Raw genomic sequence first — 22,883 nt, forward strand, 5'->3', positions numbered from 1 at the left:
CTGTTGAGATTCCCCATCTAGGTGATCTGGAGAGGTTAGAATGAGATGTATGTTTTTTGCAGGAATAATTTGTGCACCTGAATCACAATTTTCCATTCCCAGAGACATAACGGGATAAGTTAAAGGTTTGGTGTGAGTCACCCTTTTCACCTGAATCACAATTCCCCATTCCCAGAGGCATGACTGGGGAGAAGCTCAAGGTTTTGTGTGAGTCATTCTTTAATCATGAGTATTTAAGAGAATTTAGAGCATAAAAGAGATGAATAAATTGATGATACATTGAATATTGTTCACTGACCTGCACTTTAATGTTTACGACAAAATTTTATAATGAAGGAGGTATTTTGGTTAGTGGGATAGAAGGATTCGTATTTGTAGGGAGCACTAAAAATTTTGAAGCAAAAACAGAAGTATGGATGCATGAAACATTATAGACCATGGCACCAAATCCATCACTCCAATAAATAAACTTATATATGGGCACTAAGCTTCCATACTTCAATGAGTCCATGCACATCATAAAAACAAGTCTTCCATAGCAATTCAATGTATGATTGACAATTTTACTCCATCATATTTAAGGTCATCTCTGACTGTAAGTCCATATTAAGTTAATCAACATATGCAAGTTTGTCTTTCAGTGGGCATTGCACTCGGAACATATTTTTGATAAACAATTTTTGCCTTACCGTACTATGCCAGGGAGTATGGCAGATACTGTGGACATGGCACTGACAAAGACATGATGTCCTAATGAGGACAACACAATCTCATGACCAGCTGCAAAATACACAAGTATGTTCAGGTCTACATTATCAGGAGGAGCATTGAAGGTAGAGACAGACATAGGACTGAAGAATACAAAAGTGAACAAATTGTGGTCTCAGGTCATATTCCACTATAAATTTACATCAATTACCCCAATTGCCAAGTGTAGTCTATGCCACAGGAGACATACAACTCTTCCCTGTATGAGACAAATGGAAATCTCCAAAGTGTTTCTGATCCAAAGTCGGAAATAACCTTGAGAAAGTAGGAAAACAACAAAGAGAAAAAACTGTTGGATATCAGAGAGCAGAAAGCTTAATAAAAGGAGTTGCTTAAATTCTACAAGACCAGTTGAAATCACAACAAATTGAAACTCCCAGAAATATAATAAGTATTAATAGAAGGAGCAAGTTCTATTTCCACTATCTGATTGAAGAATGACAGTTACTACCTCTGAAGCTTAGAGCCCTGCAATCATGGGCACTTCTTGAAAAATTGCCCTTTCATTGTTCCCCACAACAAATGTATTCCCAGAGCCCTCTTTATGTCTTTATTCCTCAGACTATAGATAAAGGGGTTCAGCATGGGGGTGACCACAGTGTACATCACTGAGGCTGTTGCACTTGAGTGTGAGTTGCGGGTGGCAGCAGAACTAAGGTACACCCCTAGGATTGCACCATAAAATAAGGAGACAACTGAGAGGTGAGATGCACAGGTGGAAAATGCCTTGTACTTCCCCTGAGCTGATGAGATTGCATGTATGGAAGAAATTATCTTAGAGTAAGAGTAAAGGATCCCAGTCAGGGGACCTCCACCCAGCAGCGCAACTGTAAAATATATCACCATGTGATTAAGAAAGCTATCAGAACAAGCAAGTTGGATGACCTGATTAAGTTCACAGAAAAAGTGGGGGATTTCTAAGGCTGTGCAGAAGGACAGCCGTACTACCATTAAGATTTGTAGCAAGGAATACAGAGCACTCATGGTCCAGGATGCTAGAACCAGCAGTCCACAGAGGTGAGGGTTCATAATGACCATGTAGTGCAGGGGGTGACAGATGGCCACAAACCGGTCATAGGCCATCACGGACAGGAGGAAGTTTTCAAATCCAGCAAAGAGTATGAAAAAATACATCTGCATGAGGCAGGCTATGTAGGTGATGACTTTGTTCTGTGTCTGGATGTTCATCAGCATTTTTGGAATGGTGGTGGAAGTAACACAAATGTCAGCAAAGGACAGGTTGGAGAGGAAGAAGTACATGGGGGTGTGGAGGTGGGAGTCTGAGATTGTGGCCAGGATGATGAGCAGGTTCCCGAGCACAGTGACCAGGTACATGGACAGGAACAGCCCAAAGAGGAAGGGTTGCAGTCCAGGTTCTTGTGAAAATCCCAGAAGAAGAAATTCTGAAATTTGTGTATCATTTCCTGGTTCCATTTGATTGAAGTGACTATCAGAGAGAGAGAGAGAAAGAGGGAAACGAGACAGGCATGCATTGCTAACCTTTCAGAAATACCATCATTTATATTTTATAGCCAATAAATTATCTTACATTTTGTGTATGAATCTGGTTCTCTTTAAGGGATCTCCATGTCATCTCTGATTAGGAACTCCTTCCCACTCTCAGCCTTAACTGAAGACAGCGTACATTCTGCAGTTAGAATAAGAACTTCTGGCTGGGCACGGTGGCTTATGCCTGTAACCCCAGCACTTTGGGAGGTCAAAGCAGGCGGATCACGAGGTCAAGAGGTTGAGACCATCCTGGCCAACATGGTGAAACCCTGTCTCTAGTAAAAATACAAAAATTAGCCTGGTGTAGTGGCATGCGCCTGTAGTCCCAGCTACTTGGGAGGCTGAGGCAAGGAGAATCTCTTGACCCCGGGAGGCAGAAGTTGCAGTGAGCTGAGATCATGCCACTGCACTCCAGCCTGGTGACAGAGCGAGACTCCATCTCAAAAAAAAAAAAAAAAAAAAAAAAAAAAAGAATGAGAACTTCTTCTATGAATTTGAGGAATATAAATTGAATGTTGACCATGTTCTTGTCACTGTCTAGATAATGAGTGAACAATGCTGAGAAACAAAAGTCCCTACAATCTAATGATGAAGAAAGAATATAAACAAATTAAACAATCGAATATAAACAAATTAAACAATCACATAATATGTCAGATGGGAACAGGCGCTTGGAAAATAAACAAAGCAGGTAAAAAGGAGGGAGGGTATGAAGTGTTTCTTTTGTTTTTTGTTTGTTTGTTTGCTGATTATTATTCAAGACCTGCAAACAAGGTGATGTTTGAAAAAAGATCTCAAGGAAGACAGGGCAAGATTCATGAAGTTATCTGTTGAAGTGGGTGCCTGGCAGGAGGAATGGCAGTACAAAAACTTTGAGGGATGTGCTTCTTTCTTGTTTTCTTTTTTGAGACAGAGTCTCGCTCTGTTGCCGGGCTGGAGCGCAGTGGCGCAATCTCAGATCACTGCAACCTCCACCTCCCAGGTTCAAGCGATTCTCCTGCCTCAGCCTCCCGAGTAGCTGGGATTACAGGCATGCACCACCACGCCCAGCTAATTTTGTATTTTTAGTAGAGACGGGGTTTCTCCATGTTGGTCAGGCTGGTCTTGAACTCCCAACCTCAGGTGATCCGCTCACCTCGGCCTCCCAAAGTGCTGGGATTATAGGCATGAGCCACTGCACCTGGTTGGGACGTGCTTCTTTCAGATGTTCAAGTCCAACACAGAAGCCAGTGTGGCCAGGGAATCAGTAAGACGGAGAGTGATGGGACATGGTGTCAGAGGATGTTGCAGAATAAGGGGACCTGGCTGTCAAAACATCAAGGGACAAAGTGTCCATCTGTCTAGATGCTGTTGCACCTGCACTTTATTAACTGGACTAGAAAGGTGTCACATCAATTGAAATGCATCCCCTCTTTATTTCCTTCTGGTGTCTTGGGTTCTGGCCTCTGTTTCATTGGTCTCCTTTATAATAAAATATATTGAGGCCAGGTCCCTCTTGCTCTGAAACCTGCTGTCACTCCAAAGACATGCAGCCACACACTCACTCACACACACATATACACATGCAGCACACTGGCCGAAGAGGGCCCAGGCAGGAGTGCAGTGGTGTGATCATAGCTCACTGCAGCTTCAACCACCCAGGCTCAAGCCATCCTCCTGCCTCAGCCTCCCAAGTAGTTGGGACCACAGCCATGTGCCGCCACCCTTGGCTGATTTCTACATTTTTTGTGGAGACCAGGTCTGCCTATGTTGCCCAGGCTGGTCTTGAACTCCTGGCCTCAAGTGAACCTTCCACTTTGGCCTCCCAAAGTGCTGGAATTACAGGCATGAGCTACTGCATTTGGCTCAAGGAAAGCTTTTAATATCAGATTCTTTTTTCCCTACAGAATGTAGAATTGGTACAAGAAATTCCAGTTCACAAGTCTGTATACACATGTAAACTTGGACTTCCATTTTGGTATGACTGTTTTCAGCCCTGTGTTTAAAGAAACATAAAAGAGCTGTTCAATAAACAGAGTGAGAGAAATTAAACAGACCCCAGTAAGGAAAAAGTCTAATAAACTCAGGTAATCCCTCAGCAAAAGGACAAAAATACATTGCAAGGGTGCAACGGGTAGGTTAGCAAGAAAGGAACTGACTCCAAGGAGACAAAGGCTTGCTGGGGATCTTATAGGATGGAAAATAAAAGCGACCCTGGTTATGGTTACATTTCAGCTTCCATTGTATCTCCTCGATGCCTGGCAAAATAAATAAAAGATCAAAAATAAAGAATTCTGACATCTTTATTGACTTCATGGTTTTTAATTTAACAATAGTATTTAATTATGTCGGTTTTAATGATTATTAAAGTTTTAGCTTTCCTTTTGGAACTAGAAATAAGTAAATAAAGTTATCCAAAAGACAAGACTGTGGAGTCCTAATTAGGGAAATGGAGTCAGGCTGGCTGAAGCAGGGAAAAACAAAAAGAGAAGATAGATAAGCTCTAAGTCTGCCTTTCTTCATGGTCCAGGACACACAACCCTCGTGTGCCAATGACTCACAATCTTCCTGCACCCGTCTTATCACCTGACCCTCAGCTGATGGAAAAATGCAAGTTAGCTCACTGCAACCTTGGCATTATCAGTACCGCACAAAGCCCTCTTCAGCTCGCAGCACAAGCACTATCCTATAAAATCCCCAGCAAGCCTTTGCCTCCTTGCAGTCAGCTCCTTTCTTGCTAACCTGCCCATTGCACCCTTGCAATGTATTATTATCCTTTCTCTAATTAAATTTGCCTTTCTTTATCTACAACTGTCTTGGTAAATTCTTACTGCCTACATGATGCCGGCCCCAGATAGCTGCTACCCATGACAAAAACTAATGATACCTTTTTTGGCAACAAAGGTACAGATCGCATATCCTAATAGAAAAATGGAGCAAAGAGAATAAGCCAACAATTCACAAAAAGAAACATACAAACAATGACAAGATTTGGGCATTTTTATATGAAACAGTAAAAGACTCATTTTTTTCTGTGCCTATTCCATATTTACTTGATCAATTGGTTTTTATATGAATTGAGAGTGGATGAAGCAGTCCCTTTCTCACTTTTCTTGTATTTCCTGTGTGGCCTTTATTTTATTTTATTATTTTATTATTATTTTTTTGAGACAGAGTCTCGCTCTGTCGCCCAGGTTGGAGTGCAATGGTGCAATATTGGCTCACTGCAAGCTCAGCCTCCCGGGTTCACGCCATTCTCCTGCCTCAGCCTCCTGAGTAGCTGGCATTACAGGTGCCCGCCACTGTGCCCGGCTAATTTTTGTATTTTTAGTAGAGATGGGGTTTCACCATGTTAGCCAGGATGGTCTCGATCTCCTGACCTCGTGATCCGCCTGCCTCGGCCTCCCAAAGTGCTGGGATTACAGGCGTGAGCCACCGCGCCTGGCCTATTTTATTTTTTTTTTGCTACTTGTGGACTTTGAATTTTGATCACTTTTTTGACAAATCCAATGAGCTTGTTTCTGGTCTTTGTCCAACATGAAAATGCCTGCCCAGACCATATTACATATTAAATTTTGCACACGTCATGACTATTCTATTCTATTCTGTTGTATTCTATTTATTCATTGTTGAGATAGGGTCTTACTCTCTTGCTAAAGATGGAGTGCAGTGGTGCAATCATAGCTCACTGCAGCCTCAAATTTCTGGGCTTATATAATACTCATGCCTCAGCTTCTTGAATGACTGGGACGAAAGGCATGTGTCACCATACCTAGCTAATTTTGTTCATGCTTTGTAGAGACAGGGTCTTGTTTTGTTGCCCAGGCTGGTCTCAAACTCTTGGCTTCATGTGATCCTCCCAGCTGGGCCTCCCAAAGTGCTGGAATTATAGGCATGAGTCACCTCGCTTGGCCTGACAATTCTATTATTTTACACTAAGAAATATTCTTTATTTGATTTACACCTTATGACATTGCATCATGCACCTTTATTTAATTCTACTGTATTTTCACCATTATAGCACAAGGTCAAAATGAGCAGGGATGTTACCATGGATGTTCACTTATGTATTTTTTTCCCTCCTTCCCTCCCTCCCTCCCTTCCTTCCTTCTCTCTCTCTTTCTTTCTTTTTTCTTTTCTTTTTTTTTTTTAATGGAGCCTTGCTCTGTCACCAGGCTGGAGTGCAGTGGCGCGATCTCGGCTGACTGGCAACCTCCGCCTCCTGGGTTCAAGCGATTCTCCTGCCTCAACCTCCCAAGTAGCTGGGATTACAGTCATGAGCCACAACACCTGGCTAATTTTTGTATTTTTAATAGAGTCGGGGTTTCACCATGTTGGCCAGGATGGTCTCGATCTCCTGACCCCGTGATCCACCCACCTCGGCCTCCCAAAGTGTTGGGATTACAGGCCTGAGCCACAGTGCCTGGCTACCTTCATATTTTCATAAAAAGATGTGACGATGTATGCATTATTAAAAAAAGAATTATAAAATTAGAAAGAATGGCAGGAGAATAAAACCAGGTTAAATATAATCAACTGTAGTGAATAAAATTGTTGAAGTATTGAAAATTAACTGACATGCTATAATAATAATTTAATCATATCAACATAAATTAATAAATTGGCAAAAATCTAGATATAAAAGAATATGGCATACACTGTTCATAAAAAACTCTTGCACAGAGCAGATGCTCAGTTATTATTTGCTGAATGAATCAGGACTTTGTTCTCAGTATACATGGGCATTTAATATACAGCAAGCTTGTATTTCAATTTAGTTAGAAAGGATTGGATATTTAAATAAATGCTGTCATAAACAGCTATTTGTCTGGAATAAATAAAATTGGTCACCTACCTCACACATCTTACACAAAGTCAGAGGAATTAAAAACTTCAATATCGGCCAGGTACGGTGGCTCATGCCTGTAATCCCAGCAGTTTGGAAGGTCCAGGTGGGTGGATCACTTGAGGTCGGGAGTTCAAGACCAGCCTGGGCAATATGGCGAAACGCCATCTCTACCAAAAATACAAAAATTAGATGGGTATGGTGGCACTTGCCTGCAGTCCAAGCTACTCAGGAGGCTGAGGTGGGAGAATCGCTTGGATCCAGGAAGCGAAGGTTGCAGTGAGCCAAGATCGCACCACTGCATTCCATCCTGGTTGACAGGGCGAGACTCCGTCTCAAAAAAAAAGTAAACAATGCCTTTTCCATGAAAACAGGGAAACTACATATGAAATCTGTGGGTGGGCAAATCACCTTAACTAAGGCAATAATTGCAGAAGTAAGATGATAGGTATATATTTAACTAAAGAATATTTTAAACTTTTTATGGCTAATAAATTTCCCCAAAAGTCAACTGAAAAAGAATCATTGAAAAAAATAATTTTAAACGCTGGTAACTGTATAAAAATGGGCATATAGTAAACATAAGGCAATCAAGATCTTGATCAAATATATGAATATTTGCTCAAAGTCAGTAATATTTTAAGAAAACAGTAAGAAATCTCACGTCCATCAGCCTGAGCGGGGATGGAGTGGGGAACTTTCTCAGCTGTCATAGATTTGTGTTGGAATTTTTAAACAGATGGCAAACGGGTACTCTAATTTTGGTGACAGAAATAAGTGTCATAATGTCTTGTGGAAACAATCTCCAGACAGATAAAATATTAAAAACACATACAGGCTGGGCGTGGTGGCACACGTCTGCAATCCTAGCACTTTGGGAGGCTGAGGCAAGTAAATTGCTTGAGCCCAGGAGTTCGAGACCAGCCTGGACAACGTGGTGAAACTCCATCTCTACAAAAGAAATACAAAAATTAGCCTAGCATGGTGGTGCACACCAGTAGTTCCAGCTACTTGGGAGACTGAGGTGGGAGGATCACCGGAGCCAAGGAGGTTGAGGCAGCAGTGAGCTGAGATCATGCTACTGCATTCCAGTAGTAGCATGGACAGAGGCTTGCACGACAGAGTGAGGCTCTGTCTCAAAGAAAAAACAAACAAACAACAAAACTCCAAAAACCAGGAAGCCAGCAGATATTCCTCGCCACAGTGTTTCTCAATCTCAGCACTATTGATATTCTGGGCTAGATCACTCTCTTTGATAAAGTCTATCCTATACACTGTGAGTTGTTTAGAAGCATCAAATCACAGGCCTAAACAACACACAAATATATTCAGCCACGCAAGTGAGGAAATAAATGCAAGTACAGCTCATTAGTACATAGTCTCTCACCTATTAAATATTTTGTATTATCTGAATACCTAGCGTAAGAGAAAATCCTGCAAAATATACGCATTATGAACTGCTGTTGCAAAATGGTATTTGCAAGCAATCCGTTCATCTGGATTTTTCTCACGGGCATAGAATCAAACTGAAATATGCTCCATTTTAAAAGTAAAAAGGAAATGTCTTTACATGACTGTATATCCCTCCACAGCCAATACACGATTTCTCTACTCCCCTTAATTACAAAGATGTATGTTGTACTTTTACAAAAATCATTTTACACCTCCTATTCCTTCTAATTGGGCTTCTGTGACCTTCACTAAATGTCAATAGTCGTCACCCTTGCATTGCCTAGTTCAGTGTTCACTTTTCTTTTTTTGCATCATAAAACGAGACATTACTTAGTTAATTAATCAACCAAGCAAATAACCGCAGCAATATCTTGGCTCTGGGCTAGGCTGGACTGGCTCTCAGGTGATCTCAGGTAAATATTCTCTGCATCTATTCCATCTATTGTTTTCCTGCAGTTCCCACTGGGCTCTCCAACTCACCAGGAGGGGATCTCTCCGAGGAAGAGTTCCTTGTGTAAGTGCAAATTCCTCACTGGATGATTGATGGTGGAGACTGAAGCTCTGCTCAGCAGACTAGGCAGCAGGAAAGAGTCAAGCATCTGTCTCTGAGCTAGACTTAGGACTTCAAAAGAAACAATGATATTCCATTCAACCCAGGGGTGCCTGAGGGACAACAGCAGATGAAATATTTATAGCTTCCCACATCTGCTCAATAGGCACATTTCTTCTTGTTATTTGAAACCCTGAGTACATTATGTCCCTGTGGGACATTGTTTTGCACAGAAAGAAAAAAAATCCTGCAGATTCTCTGTTCCCAAGAGACTGGATGAACCAGTCTTTCTTACTCTTTCAACATGAACTCTCCTTTCTTCCAGAAGTCTAACTTTGTAACAACTGTCCCAATCCTGAGACAAAGTTTTCTTCACATCTAAGACTGAGAAACCCATCTTGCCTACTCCCCTTAAATCTCCAAAGCATCGACTTATTGTGGGAATACAGCCTCTGATACCATAAGAAAATTTCTCTTTTTTTTTTGAGACGGAGTCTCACTGTGTCACCCAGGCTGGAGTGCAGTGGTGTGATCTCAGCTCACTGCAACCTCCGCCTCCTGGGTTCAAGTGATTCTTCTGCCTCAGCCTCCCGAGTAGCTGGAACTACAGGTGCTCACCCCCATGCCCAGCTAATTTTTATATTTTTAGTAGAGAAGGGGTTTTGTCATGTTGGCCAGGCTGGTCTCGAACTCCTGACCTCAGGTCATCCACCCGCCTTGGCCTCCCAAAGTGCTGGGATTACAGGCGTGAGCCACTGTGCCTGGCCCAACATCTGAAAATTTCCATCTCATTCTTCAACTAGAGGGAGTACTGTGTTCCTTTGATATAAATCATGGCTTGGCTGTACTCCTTGGCTTCATGATGTTTTCACCAAAACAATTTGTAATTTAATGCTTGTCAGACAAATTAAGAACTGTCTTTTAGTTCTTCATTGATAAAATGTGTACCAATTACAAGAGATATATTTAGACCCTTTTATGCACATTGTCCTGAGAATGGCACCTTATAAGGATTATTTTATCTAATGTTTATAAATGTTTATTTTATGTGGTCGGTACTGTCATGAGCATCATTCTACGTATGCAGTAATGGGGCTCAGAAAGATTCAGTGATCTGCTCAACATTATAAACCAAGAAAGGGATGAATGGTTGAAACTCCTTCATGATGTTTTCAGTTCTCATGCTTGAGGCCAGTAGTTTAAAAACAGGAATGAGGCTGCATGTGGTGGCTCACACTTGTAATCCCAGCACTTTGGGAGGCTAAGGCAGGCAGATAACCTGAGGCCGGAGTTCGAGACCAGCCTGGCCAACACGGTGAGACCCCGTCTCTACTAAAAATGTAAAAATTACCTGGGCATGGTGGCATACGCCTGTAGTCCCAGCTACTCAGGAGGCTGAGGCAGGAGAATCACTTGAACCCGGGAGGCAGAGGTTGCAGTGAGCTGACATTACTCAAGCCTGGGTGACAGAGCAAAACTCCATCTCAAAAAAACAAAAACAAAGAAACAAAAAGCAGGGATGATTTTGCCACCAAAGGACACTTGAAAATATCTGAGAAAACTTTAGTTGTCACAACTAGGAAGATGTTACTGGCACCTGGGGGTTGAGGTTGAGAATGCTGTTCAAGATCCAACAATGCAAATGATACCCCCACCACAAATGATAATCCAGCACAAATGTTAACATGGAGGAAGCTGCAAACACTATTCTAGACCAGAACATCTCCAGCTTCAAAGTTTATATGAATTGCTTCTGGATCTTGTTCAAATGTGGATTCTAATTTATCAGGTCTAGGATGGGGTCCAGAGATTCTACATGTGTATTAGTCCGTTTTCACGCTGCTGATAAAGACATACCCAAGACTTGGTAATTTATAAAGGAAAGAGGTTTAATGGACTCTGGACTCACAGTTCCACATGGCTGGGGAGGCCTCACAATCATGGTGGAAGGCAAAAGGCATGTCTTACATGGCAGCAGGCAAAGCGAGAATAAGAATCAAGTGAAAAGGGAAACCCCTTATAAAACCATCAGCTCTCATGAGACTTATTTAGTACCATGAGAAAAGTATGGGGAAAACTGCCCCCACGATTCGGTTAGCTCCCACTAGGTGCCTCCTGATATAGGAGTTAAGAAGGAATTACTTAGGCAGATAGCAAGGGCATGAGAGTCCTCAGTAAGGCTTTTCTCTTTTAATGAAAAGCAGCCTCAAATCATTTTCTAACAAAGAGCAGCCTGTAAAGTTGAGCTGCAGACATAGATAAGCAAGCTGGGAGTTTGCATGGGTGAATGCTGGCAGAAACTAAGGACTAGACGTTTTCAAGATGGTGGCTCCATCTTCCCTTCTCTGCCAGCCACGTGCACTGTAAGGAGCAGACAAGATGGTGTCATGGCACTGGCCAGGTAAAAACCCCATCTGCATAATAAACAATTGGGGTGGGATGGCCAGCCTCTTTGCAGGCTATGTAAATGACACACTTGGTCCAACCAATCCCCTGGGCCCTATGTAAATCAGACCCCACCTCCTCAAGCCCCTCTATAAAACCAACCGAATCCCATGGGCAACAGGGAGATCTGTTTGGAACCCGCCTCCATCTACATAAGGGAGCTTTTTTCTTGTTTCTTTCATGTATTAAACTTTCCACTATTAAATCCACACCTCGTGCATCTGCGTCTTCATTTTCCTTAGAGCAGGACAATGAACCTTGAGTATTTCCCCAGACAAACGATGCCACTTCACCATTAGCCAAATACATCTCTGTTCATTATAAATTGCCCAGTCTCAGGCATTCTGCTATAGTAGCAGAAAACAAACTCACATTTAGCTTCTGCATATACAAGTTTACATGTGTCTCTTGAGTAAATCCCTCATGATAGGAAATGAAACTTTTAGAACTTTCATTTCTTATCTATAAGTTCTGGAAATTTCATCGATCCTATGAAGTTATTGTGAAAAGTAAGCAATATTTTAATGCTTGGAAAGTTACTGGAACAGAATAATTGTTCGATCAATAGCAGCTATTGTTATTGTCTCAGTTTTGCATTTACTTAGCTCACTGTGACACCAGAAATGTCTCTTGCGAGAGGATGTGAGTCTAGTGTTACCCTGTTCCTGTTCCTGGAATACAGCTAGTTGTGATCTTGAAGGGAGACCTCATCCCAGGGACTCAAGGAGGGGTCAGAATGTGGGGAATCCACCATTCCATGCTTTGTTATATTCAAGGATGTAGCCTCTGACCCTATTCTTTTTGAGACTGAGTTTTCCTCTGTTGCCCAGGCTGGAGTGCAGTGGCACAATCTCGGTTCACTGCAACCTCCACCTCCTAGGTTCAAGCAATTCTCTTGCCTCCGCCTCCCAAATAGCTGGGATTACAGGCTTGTGCCACCACGCCCGGCTAATTTTTTGTATTTTTAGTAGAGACGGGGTTTCACTATGTTGGCCAGGCTGGTCTCGAACTCCTGATCTCAGGTGATCCGCCTGCCTTGGCCTCCCAAAGTGCTGGGATTATAAGCGTGAGCCACCGCACCTGGGCCTGCCTCTGACCCTCTAATGCTGACTCCAAATAACCACAGCAAGAATTTTTAGACTCTTTCAATCCACTTTACTTGTTCTGCTCTTGGGAATATTTGCAAAGCTGCTATTTCTTGTTGCATCAAATTATTTCTATAAATTTTCTCATCCTTTTTGTTCCACCTCCACAGCATGTAATTCACAAATGTTTGCTGCCAACAGAAGTATGAAGTTCTTGCGTGTCTGTTTCTTTCTAGGATAATTTTTTTTTTTACAATTATTTATTAACTCCTCTATTCTCTGTAGGAGGACTGTAAATCACCACTATGGACTCTGGGTCTTAAGGGTGCCTCAATTGTAAGGAGAACATAGCTCTTCAATAGTTGACACTGAACTTGGACATGTGACTTCAGCTAAATGTGAATAGTCCTGAAATGTCCAATGCCTGAGAAGAAGCTGTAAGAGATTCCATCACTTGGCTAGGCACGGTGGCTCACGCCTGTAGTCCCAACACTTTGGGAGGCTGAGGTGGGTGGATCATGAGGTCAGGAGATCGAGACTACCCTGGCTAACATGGTGAAACCTCATCTGTACTAAAAATACAAAAAAAATTAGCCAGGCGTGGTGGCGGGTGCCTGTCATCCCAGCTACTCTGGACGCCGAGGCAGGAGAAAGGCGTGAACCCAGGAGGCGGAGCTTGCAGTGAGCCGCGATTGCACCACTGCACTCCAGCCTGGGTGACACAGCAAGATTCCATCTCAAAAAAAAAAAAGAGATTCCATCACTTTTCTTGAGCTTCTTCTCTCAAATTGTCCTTGCTGTCCAAAGGTCAAGAACTTGATTTGGATAGCCCTATGGACTGAATATTTTTGTCCCTTCCAAAATTCGTATGTCCCAAGTCCCCAAAGTTAAAACTTCTCCAACATTGCCTCCTATGTGATTAAAAAATAGCATGACATTAAACCATTCACTATTAGGATGACTTGTTATGCAGTAGTAGCTTACTGATACAATAATCAATGCAAACACAACTAAAGAGATTCAGAATAATCTGATGTTTCTTTGTTCTGGACCTTTGTTCTGTTATTTGAAGGAAATATTTATGATTACCTGGTTATTCATATTTATTTCAGATAACTGTATTAAAATGAGACTGCCTATTAGATTTTCTTCAGGTAGCTAGGAGAGGTTGAAAGTAAATATGTTGGGAAAACACTGACTTTTTTTCACATGCTAATCCACCAGGTTACTTTTGAGTAACGCTGAGTCCAGAAAAGCCTCCAAAAATGTCTAGTTGATGGATTACTCTTTTTATAGAAATACGTGTTCACTGTAATTTTTGCCTTTCCTCCAAAACAACCCTTGGTGTTCTTCCATACATCATAGGCTGCGATGCCTGTAGCTGCTTACACATTCCTTCCAGAGCACATATAATGTTTCCTCCAAGATATAAGCCCCAGGTCTGGGGTGGTGGAGGTGTGGAGATCCACTTTTCCTGCGGCCACCTAAGACCATGCTTCTGTCTGTAAGTTTACCTGGTAAATTACCCTACCCAACAAACTGGCTTGTCTGCCTTGTCCTTTGACTTCTCAGATCCTTCTGCACTTGGGAACTGCTTTGCATATATAGTCCTTTCATGGAATAACACATATGTTTTTGAAGGAAAGAACTGTGACCTTCAATCACAAGTCTCTATTCCCAGAGGCAACACTGGGTAGAAATTCGAGCTCTTGTGTGAGTCATCCTTTGATCATGAGAGTTGAAGAGTGTTTAGAGTATAAAAGAGACAAAACAACTGAAGATAAAGTAAATACATATATTGTTCACTTGTCAACACTTTGATGCTTATGACATTTTTAAGGAAGAGATGTTAGGACAATGGAAGGAGTCATATTTGTAGGCAGCACTGGAAAACATTAGGCAGAAGTAGCAGAGTGATGCAAGGACATTACATACACCATGGCACTCAATCCTTCACTCAGATGAACAAACCTAGTGACGCGTGGACACCAGGCTCCTCTACTTCAATGAGTAGATGTACCCCAACGAAAACAAATATTCCATAGTTATTTCATGTATGATTGAAAATTATATTCCGTCATATTTAAGGTCATCTCTGACTCTAAGAAGAACAGTGTAAGCTCTATAAAGTAGTTGAGGAACAAAGAAGTTTAAACTCCAGGAAATAAATGGAAGGGGCAAGTCTTCCTTCCACCATCTTATTAACAAATCACCATTTCTGGCTCTGGGGCTTAGAGCTCTGAAGTCACAGGCCTTTCTTGAAAAATAGCCTTTCTATTGCTTTCCTCTGAAGAATGTTTTCATAGCACCCTTTATGTGTTTATTCCTCAGACTGTAGATGAAGGGGTTCAGCATGGGGGTGACCACAGTGTACATCACTGAGGCTGCAGCACCTGTGTGTGAATTGTGGGTGGCAGCAGAACTAAGGTACACCCCTAAGCATGTACCATAAAATAAGGAGACAACTGAGAGGTGAGATGCACAGGTGGAAAATGCCTTATACTTCCCCTGAGCTGATGAGATTGCACGTATGGAGGAAACTATCTTAGAGTAAGAGTACAGGATCCCAGTGAGGGGACCACCGCCCAGCAGCGCTACTGCAAAATACATCACTATGTCATTAAGAAAGGTGTCAGAACAGGCAAGGTGGACCACCTGATTAATTTCACAGAAAAAATGAGGGATTTCCATGTGTGTACAAAAGGGCAGTGGCAACACCATTAAGCTTTGTAACATGGAATTCAGAACACTCATGATCCAGGATGCCAGAACCAGCAGTCCACAGAGTTGAGGGTTCATAATGACCATGTAGTGCAGAGGGTGACAGATGGCCACAAACCGGTCATAGGCCATCACGGTCAGAAGGAAGTTATCCAATCCTACAAAGAGTAAGAAAAAGCACATCTGGGTGATGCAGCCTGCATAGGTGATGACTTTGTTGTGTGTCTGGATGTTCACCAGCATCTTCGGGACAGTGGTAGAGACAAAACAGATGTCTACGAAGGACAGGTTGGAGAGGAAGAAGTACATGGGGGTGTGGAGGTGGGAGTCTGAGATTGTGGCCAGGATGATGAGCAGGTTCCCGAGCACAGTGACCAGGTACATGGACAGGAACAGCCCAAAGAGGAAGGCCTGCAATTCTGGTTCCTCTGAAATTCCCAGGAGAAGAAATTCTAAAATTATTGTATTGTTCCATGATTTCATCTTGTGATGTGACTACCAGAGAGAGAGAGAGAGAGAGAGAGAGAGTGAAAGAACATGAAACAAACATGCATTCCAAAACTATCAGAAATGTTATCATTTATATTCCACAGTCAAGAAGTTAATATCTTTTTCTTAAAAAATTATTTTTAAGTTGACAGATAAAATTATATGTATTTATCACATATAACATGATGTGTTTTTAAAAGTTTTATTTAGTTTCAGGGTTACATATGCAGGTTTGTAAAACAGGTAACATGTCATGGGGGTTTAGTGTATAGGTTATTTCAATACCCAGTAATAACCATAGTACGTAATAGGTGTTCGATCCTTACTCTCCTCCCACCTTCCACCCTCAAATAGGTCCCAGTATCTATTCTCTTGTTTTCTTTTTTGAGATGGAGTCTCGCTCTGTCACCCAAGCTGGAGTGCAGTGGTGCAGTCTTAACTCATTGCAACCTCTGTCTCTTTGTTCAAGCGAATCTTGTGCCTCAACTTCCCGAGTAGCTGGGATTACAGGTAGGCACCACCACGCCCATCTAATTTTTGTATTTTTAGTAGAGACAGAGTTTTGCCATGTTGGCTAGGCTGGTCTTGAACTCCTGACCTCAGGTGATCCGCCTGCCTCAGCCTCCCAAAGTGCTGGGATTACAGGCATGAGCCATGTACCTGGACTATTCTCTTCTTTGTGTTCACGTGCACTCAATGTTTAGCTCCCAATTATTAGTAAGAACATATGGTATTTGGTTTCTTGTTCCTGCATTAGTTTGCTTAGAATAATGGCTTTTAGCTACACCCATGTTGCTGCGAAGGACATTATCTTGTTCTTTATTATGGCTTCGTAATATTCCATGGTATATATGTACCATATTTTCTTTATCCAGTCTACCGTTGATGGGCGTCTAGGTTGATTCTATGTCTTTGTAATTGTGAATAGTGCTGTGATGAATATAAGTGTGGATGTGTCCTTATGGTAGAACAATTTATATTTCTTTGGGTATATACCTAGTAATGGGATTGGTAGGTCAAATGGTTGTTCTGTTTTAAATTCTTTGAGAAATTGCCAAGGGTCTAATATCAGAATCTATAAGAAACTTAAACAAATTAACAAGCAAAAAACAAACAACCCCATTAAAATGTGGGCAAAGGACACGAGCAGACACTTCAGGAAAAGACATACATGCGGCCAACAAGCATATTAAAAAATGCTCAACGTCCCTAATCATTACATAAATGCAAATTAAAACCACAGTGAGATACCATCTTACACTAGTCAGAATGGCTATAATTGAAAAGTCAAAAAATAGCACACACTGCTGAGGTTGTGGAGAAAAGGGAAAACTTATACACTGCTGGTGGGAATGTAATTAGTTCAGCCCCTGTGGAAAGCAGTTTGGTGATTTCTCAAAGGACTTAAAACATGATGTGTTGAAGTACAAATACATTGTGGAATGGCAAAATCTAGCTAATTAGCATCTACATGACGTCACCTTGTCATCATTTTTGTGAGGAGAACACTTGACATTCACCCTTTTAGTGTCTTTTGAGAATACAGTGTATCACGGTGAACTGTTGTCACTATGCTGTGCAGCACATCTTTTGAAGTTATTCCTCCTGTCTAACTGGAATTTTGTGTCTATTGGCCAACATCTTTCTAACTTTCCCCACTCCACTTCCCCCAGCCTCCATTCTACAAGAAGTTAATTTCTATATTGTTTGTGAATCTGGTCCCCGTTAGGAGATCCCCTTGCCATCTCTGAATTCCTTCCCACTCTCAGCCTTTCTCTGAGGGCATCTACTCTACAAGTTTAGGGAGAAAAATCTTTCATGCATTTGGGGAATATCAAGTGAATTTCGACATGTTCCAGATGCTGTCTAGACAGTGAGTAAGTGGTGCTATAAAACAGAAGTCCTTGTGTTAGTTTGCTGAGAATGGAACAGAAAACCAAACACCACATGTTCTCACTTATAAGTGGGAGTCGAACAATGAGAACACATGGACACAGGGAGGGGAACATCACACACTGGGGACTGTCGGGGGTACGGGATAAGGGGAGGGAGAGTATTAGAACAAACACCTAATGCATGCGGGGCTTAAAACCTAGATGACAGGTTGATGGGTGCAGCAAACCACCATGGCACATATGTACCTATGTAACCAAACTGCACATTCTGCACATGTATCCCAGCACTTAAAGAATAATTTAAAAAACCCCTCCAGAAGTCCCTATGCTCTAAACACAGAGAAAATACAAGTAAATTTGTAAAATACCACATGCTATGTCAGATGATGATAGATCCTATACTATGTCAGATGACGACAGATCCTATACTACATCAGGGCGTGACAGCTCCTACAAAGTAAAGAAAGAAGGCAAAAAAGAAAACATGGATGAGGTGTTAGTTTTTACTTTGCTTTCCTGTAAGACCAGCAGACAAGGTGACAATGGAACAGAAGACAGGGTCAGAGTGACCACCTTCCCTGCAGAAGTGTGTGCCAGGCAGAAGGAAAGATCAATGAAAGACGCTGAGGAATGTGCTTCTGGCAGATGTTCAAGGCTAACAAGGAATCCAGTGTAGCGAGAGAATGAGCAAGAAGAGAGGGATGGGAGATGGTGTCAGAGGATGATGAGGAATGAGGTGACCTCCTAAATGCTGAAATTTGATAACACAAGGAGTTCCTCGGTCCTGATGTTGTTGCATTTGCACTTTGGTAATTTGGTTGCAAAGGTGTCCCATTATTTGAAATGCATCTCCTCTTTGTTTTTCACTGTTGCCTTGAGTTCTGTGTTTTTTTTTTTTTTTTGAGATGGAGTCTCACTCTGTCACCCAGGCTGGAGTGCAGCAGTGCGATCTTGGCTCACTGCAACCTCTGCCTCCTGGGCTCAAGTGATTCTCCTGCCTCAGCCCCCTGAGTAGCTGGGATTATAGGCGCCTGCTACCACACCCGGCTAATTTTTGTATTTTTAGTAGAGATGGAGTTTCGCCATGTTGGTCAGGCTGGTCTCAAACTCCTGACCTCAGGGGATCTGCCCACCTCGGCCTCCCAAAGTGCTGGGATTATAGGCGTAAGCCACCATGCCAGGCCAACTTCTGGTCTTTTAATTACAAGTTGCCTTTTGGAATATATTGGTCCCAGGTTCTTTTTCTCTGAAAATTCCTCTCGCCCTAGAGGTGCACACACACACACACACAAACACACACACACACACACACACACACACAATGCATACACATGTGCATCACATCGTGGCCTCCTAGGGCTGTGTTACTCCTCTGCTCTTCTCACCCCTAGTCTCACTATTAAGAAGGAATGGAGGCCAGGCACGGTGGCTCACGCCTGTAATCCCAGCACTTTGGGAGGCTGAGGCAGGCGGACCGCCTGAGGTCAGGAGTTTGAGACTAGCCTGACCAACATGGTGACACCCTGTCTCTACTAAAAATACAAAAATTAGCTGGGCGTGGTGGTGGGCGCCTGTAATCCCAGCTACTGGGGAGGCTGAGGCAGGAGGATTGCTTGAACCTGGAAGGCGGAGGCTGTGGTGAGTTGAGATTGCGCCCCTGGACTCCAGCCTGGGCAACAGAGCAAGACTCCATCTCAAAAAAAAAAGACAAGTGAAAATGGTGGTGATATATATGAATTTTGCTTAAACCAAGCAATAATTTAAGGCAACAAGAAATCTCTGTCACACGCATCAGCCTGGGAAAAAACTTAAGGAGCTACCACATTGAGTAGGGTTGGAACTTACAAACAGGGAGAGAAGGGAAACTCTAATTTTGCTGGCATAAATGTGAAGTGATACACCTGGATACAGCTATAAATACTAAAAATACAGATATTCATTCACTCGTTTTCTCAATCTCAGCACTACTTAAATTCTAAGCCACATTATTCATTGTGGTGGGGTCTGTCCCTGTTGTCTGCTGACCTTTACAGGGTGAAAGCCAAATATGTCATTGCTCAATGTCCCCTGGGGGACAAAATCATGCCACCCACTCAAGTGAGAACGACAATTTTAACATAAAAATTCCAAAATGTGGGAGGCCGAAGCGAGCGGATCAGGAGGTTAGGAGTCAAGACCAGCCTGACCAACACGGTGAAACCCCATCTCTACTAAAAATACCAAAATTAGCCTGGCATGGTGGCATGCACCTGTAATCCCAGCTACTTCGGGAGGCTGAGGCAGGAGAATCGCTTCAACCCGGGAGGCGGAGGTTGCAGTAAGCCGAGATCGCACCATTGCACTCCAGCCTGGGTGACAAGAGCAAGACTCCGTCTTAAAGAAAAAATTCCAAAATGTTTTTGTAGCATTTATAGGATAGGAAAGGAAAGGAGAAGACAAGCTAAAAACAACTGCACTAAAATATAGCATATTTGTGATATGCATAGGATTTTGTCTACGTGTTTGTATAAGTGTTGTATGAATACAAAAGTGTGCATAATATAGAAAGAGAAGTTTTAAAAGAAACGAACTTATACAACAAGGAATGACAGTTAAAATGCAATTAGGTTAAGCACAGTGGTTTCAAAACAACTGTCTAAAGCAACATAGAATGAAAATCTGAAAAAATTTTAATATAATCACATAAAATAGTAATAATTTAATAACATCAAAATGGGTTACAAATTTAAGATTAAACTACCAGTCATGGAAACTAAAGAATATGACAGGAAGTCTTTTAAAATTATCTGCGTGTGGTGGTTGGTGCCTGTAATCCCAGCTACTCGGGAGGCTGAGGCAGGAGAGTCACTTGAACCCAGGAGGTGGAGGTTGCAGTGATCTGAGATCGCGTCACTGCACTCCAGCCTGGGTGACAGAGCGAGACTCCATCTCAAAAAAAAAAAAAAAAGGAAAAGGAAGTAGTGTCTAAGGTTATAATTTGATCTTATATAAAGATGTAAGGATTCAAGCATGTTTATGACAGATATAAATGTGACACAACTTCTAGATATGGATTGAATACAAAAAGCTAAAAGGCACAATAAGGAATGACAGAGATGTGAAAAGAAGTTGGAAATTTATATATAGAAGGTGATTTATTCAGCCAAAAGATGCAGAAGAACTTTCTACATTTATAAGGCAATTAGGGAGACACAATGTGACCGATGGATGGATTTGGCTACACAAGCTTTTTAAACTTGCACACTGTCCTCTCAAATACATTGAAACTTACACAAAAGAACATAAAACAGCTAAGAAAAAAGTACATATAAGAACATTCCTTGTGTAATAACTCACATAAAAGAACTAAATGACAAATGCCAAAATTGGCAAAAACTCCAAAGCTTATATGTTAAAGAATGTAATAAAAAACACGAATAAAATCACTTTGAATCCATCATACAAAAGCCAAGAATTTTCATAGATAATTTCCAACAGAGTGATAAATGTCTGACAAACACAGATGTAGTCAGTCTTACCAGTAAGGAAAAATTGCAAAGTAAAGGCCATTAATATACCAGTTTTCAACTCTTAAATAAAATTTTAATTCATTTGAATACCTAGCATAAGAAAAGCAGCTGAAAACTGTACGTTTCATAAACTGCTGTTGCCAGGTAGTAGTTGGAAAAAATTTATTGGTCTGGATCTTTCTCATCAATATGGAAACAAACTCAAATATGCCCTTCTATTTTTATTTATTTTTATTTTTTTGAGATGGAGTCTCGCTCTGTCGCCCAGGCTGGAGTGCAGTGGCGCGATCTCGGCTCAATGCAAGCTCCACCTCCCGGGTTGACGCCATCCTCCTGCCTCAGCCTCCCGAGTAGCTGGGACTACAAGCGCCCGCCACCACGCCAGGCTAATTTGTTTTTTGTATTTTTAGTAGATATGGGGTTTCACTGTGTTAGCTAGGATGGTCTCGATCTCCCGACCTTGTGATCCGCCTACCTCGGCCTCCCAAAGTGCTGGGACTACAGGCGTGAGCCACCACGCCGGACCAAATATGCCCTTCTTAAAAATGAAAAATTGGCGGGGCCAGGTGGCTCATGCCTGTAATCCCAGCACTTTGGGAGGCCGAGGTGGGTGGATCACGAGGTTAAGAGATTGAGACCATCCTGGCCAACATGGTGAAACCCTGTCTCTACTAAAAATACCAAATTTAGCTGGGTGTGGTGGTGAGCACCTGTAATCCCAGCTACTTGGGAGGCTGAGGCAGGAGAATTGCTTGAATCCGGGAGGCAGAGGTTGCAGTGAGCCAAGATTGTGCCACTGCACTCCAGCCTGGGCGACAGAGTAAGACTCTGTCTAAAAAAAAAAAAATGCCCTCACTTCCTTTCGTATCCCCCATAGCTAATACCCTACTTCTCTTTCCCACTTAATTGCAGTGATGCTTGGGCAGATGTTCTGCTTTCACTGGAACTACTTTAGACCCCACATTTTCTCTTCTAATTGGGCTTTTATTACCCTTACTTGATTGTCGGCTATCATTCTCCATTGCTGAGTTCAAGATGCACTTCTCTTCTTAGCTTCATAAATGAAGATATGAATCAATTCATTCACCAAGCAAATACCCACAGCAGCGTCTCCACTCTGTTGCAGCTAGGATTGGCTCTTTCGAGATCTCGGGTCTATGTTCACAACTTGCAATCTCCCTGATCCTTTCCTACGGTACCTATTGGACTCACCCTGTTGGGTTTTCTGAAATGAAGGTCTCAATCTAGAAGTGCAAATTCCTCCCTGGATGGTTGATGGTGGAGACTGAGGCTGTGTCCCAAGACAAGACAGTAGGAGAAAGGAAAGAATCAGTACCCCTGAGCCAGCAGATATAGACTCCGAAAGAAACAAGGATGTCCCATCCAGCCCAAGGTTGCATATGCTGAGGGACACCTGCAGCGGAGAAATTTACAGCTTCATATGCCTGCTCATTGGAGACATTTCCTCCTGTTATTCAACCCCTGATCACATTCAGTCCCTGTGGGACATTGCTCTTCATGGAAAGAAATTTTTTTCTTGCATACTCAGTTCCCAAGACATCAGATTAAACATCAGGCGAATCGAGTCGTTATTATTCCTTCTCCATGGATTTGTCTGCCTTCCAAAGGTCTAAC

At 42.2% G+C, this 22,883-nt stretch overlaps 3 protein-coding genes across 7 annotated transcripts in view; all 3 read right to left on the reverse strand.

The window, feature by feature from the left end:
• The window catches only part of OR7C1 (olfactory receptor family 7 subfamily C member 1), a 36,671-nt gene extending 27,525 nt beyond the window's left edge, over positions 1-9,146 (reverse strand). The window contains exon 1 of the mRNA NM_001370485.4: positions 9,035-9,146. The gene's annotated coding sequence lies outside the window, so the exon portion shown is untranslated. The remainder of the gene's footprint in view (positions 1-9,034) is intronic.
• OR7A5 (olfactory receptor family 7 subfamily A member 5) lies at positions 202-9,146 on the reverse strand. Of its 5 annotated transcripts, NM_001370481.1 has the most exons (4): positions 9,035-9,146; positions 7,938-8,053; positions 7,112-7,272; positions 202-2,215 (listed from the first exon to the last, which is right to left on the reverse strand). In NM_001370481.1, the coding sequence occupies exon 4, from the start codon at positions 2,200-2,202 to the stop codon at positions 1,243-1,245; it is 960 nt and encodes a 319-aa protein (NP_001357410.1). In that variant the 5' UTR covers positions 2,203-2,215; positions 7,112-7,272; positions 7,938-8,053; positions 9,035-9,146; the 3' UTR covers positions 202-1,242. The 5 variants fall into 5 exon arrangements, with proteins under 5 accessions (NP_001357410.1, NP_001357412.1, NP_001357411.1 ...); NM_001370483.1 differs by lacking the exons at positions 7,112-7,272; positions 7,938-8,053 and adding an exon at positions 2,318-2,546; NM_001370482.1 differs by lacking the exon at positions 7,938-8,053.
• Positions 9,147-14,426: 5,280 nt separating this feature from the next.
• On the reverse strand, positions 14,427-22,883 carry OR7A10 (olfactory receptor family 7 subfamily A member 10). The gene is made up of 2 exons (NM_001005190.2): positions 22,461-22,883; positions 14,427-15,850 (listed from the first exon to the last, which is right to left on the reverse strand). The coding sequence occupies exon 2, from the start codon at positions 15,836-15,838 to the stop codon at positions 14,909-14,911; it is 930 nt and encodes a 309-aa protein (NP_001005190.1). The 5' UTR covers positions 15,839-15,850; positions 22,461-22,883; the 3' UTR covers positions 14,427-14,908.

This window comes from Homo sapiens, chromosome 19 (assembly GCF_000001405.40).
Source record: "Homo sapiens chromosome 19, GRCh38.p14 Primary Assembly".
Classification (NCBI taxonomy): Eukaryota; Metazoa; Chordata; class Mammalia; order Primates; family Hominidae; genus Homo; species Homo sapiens.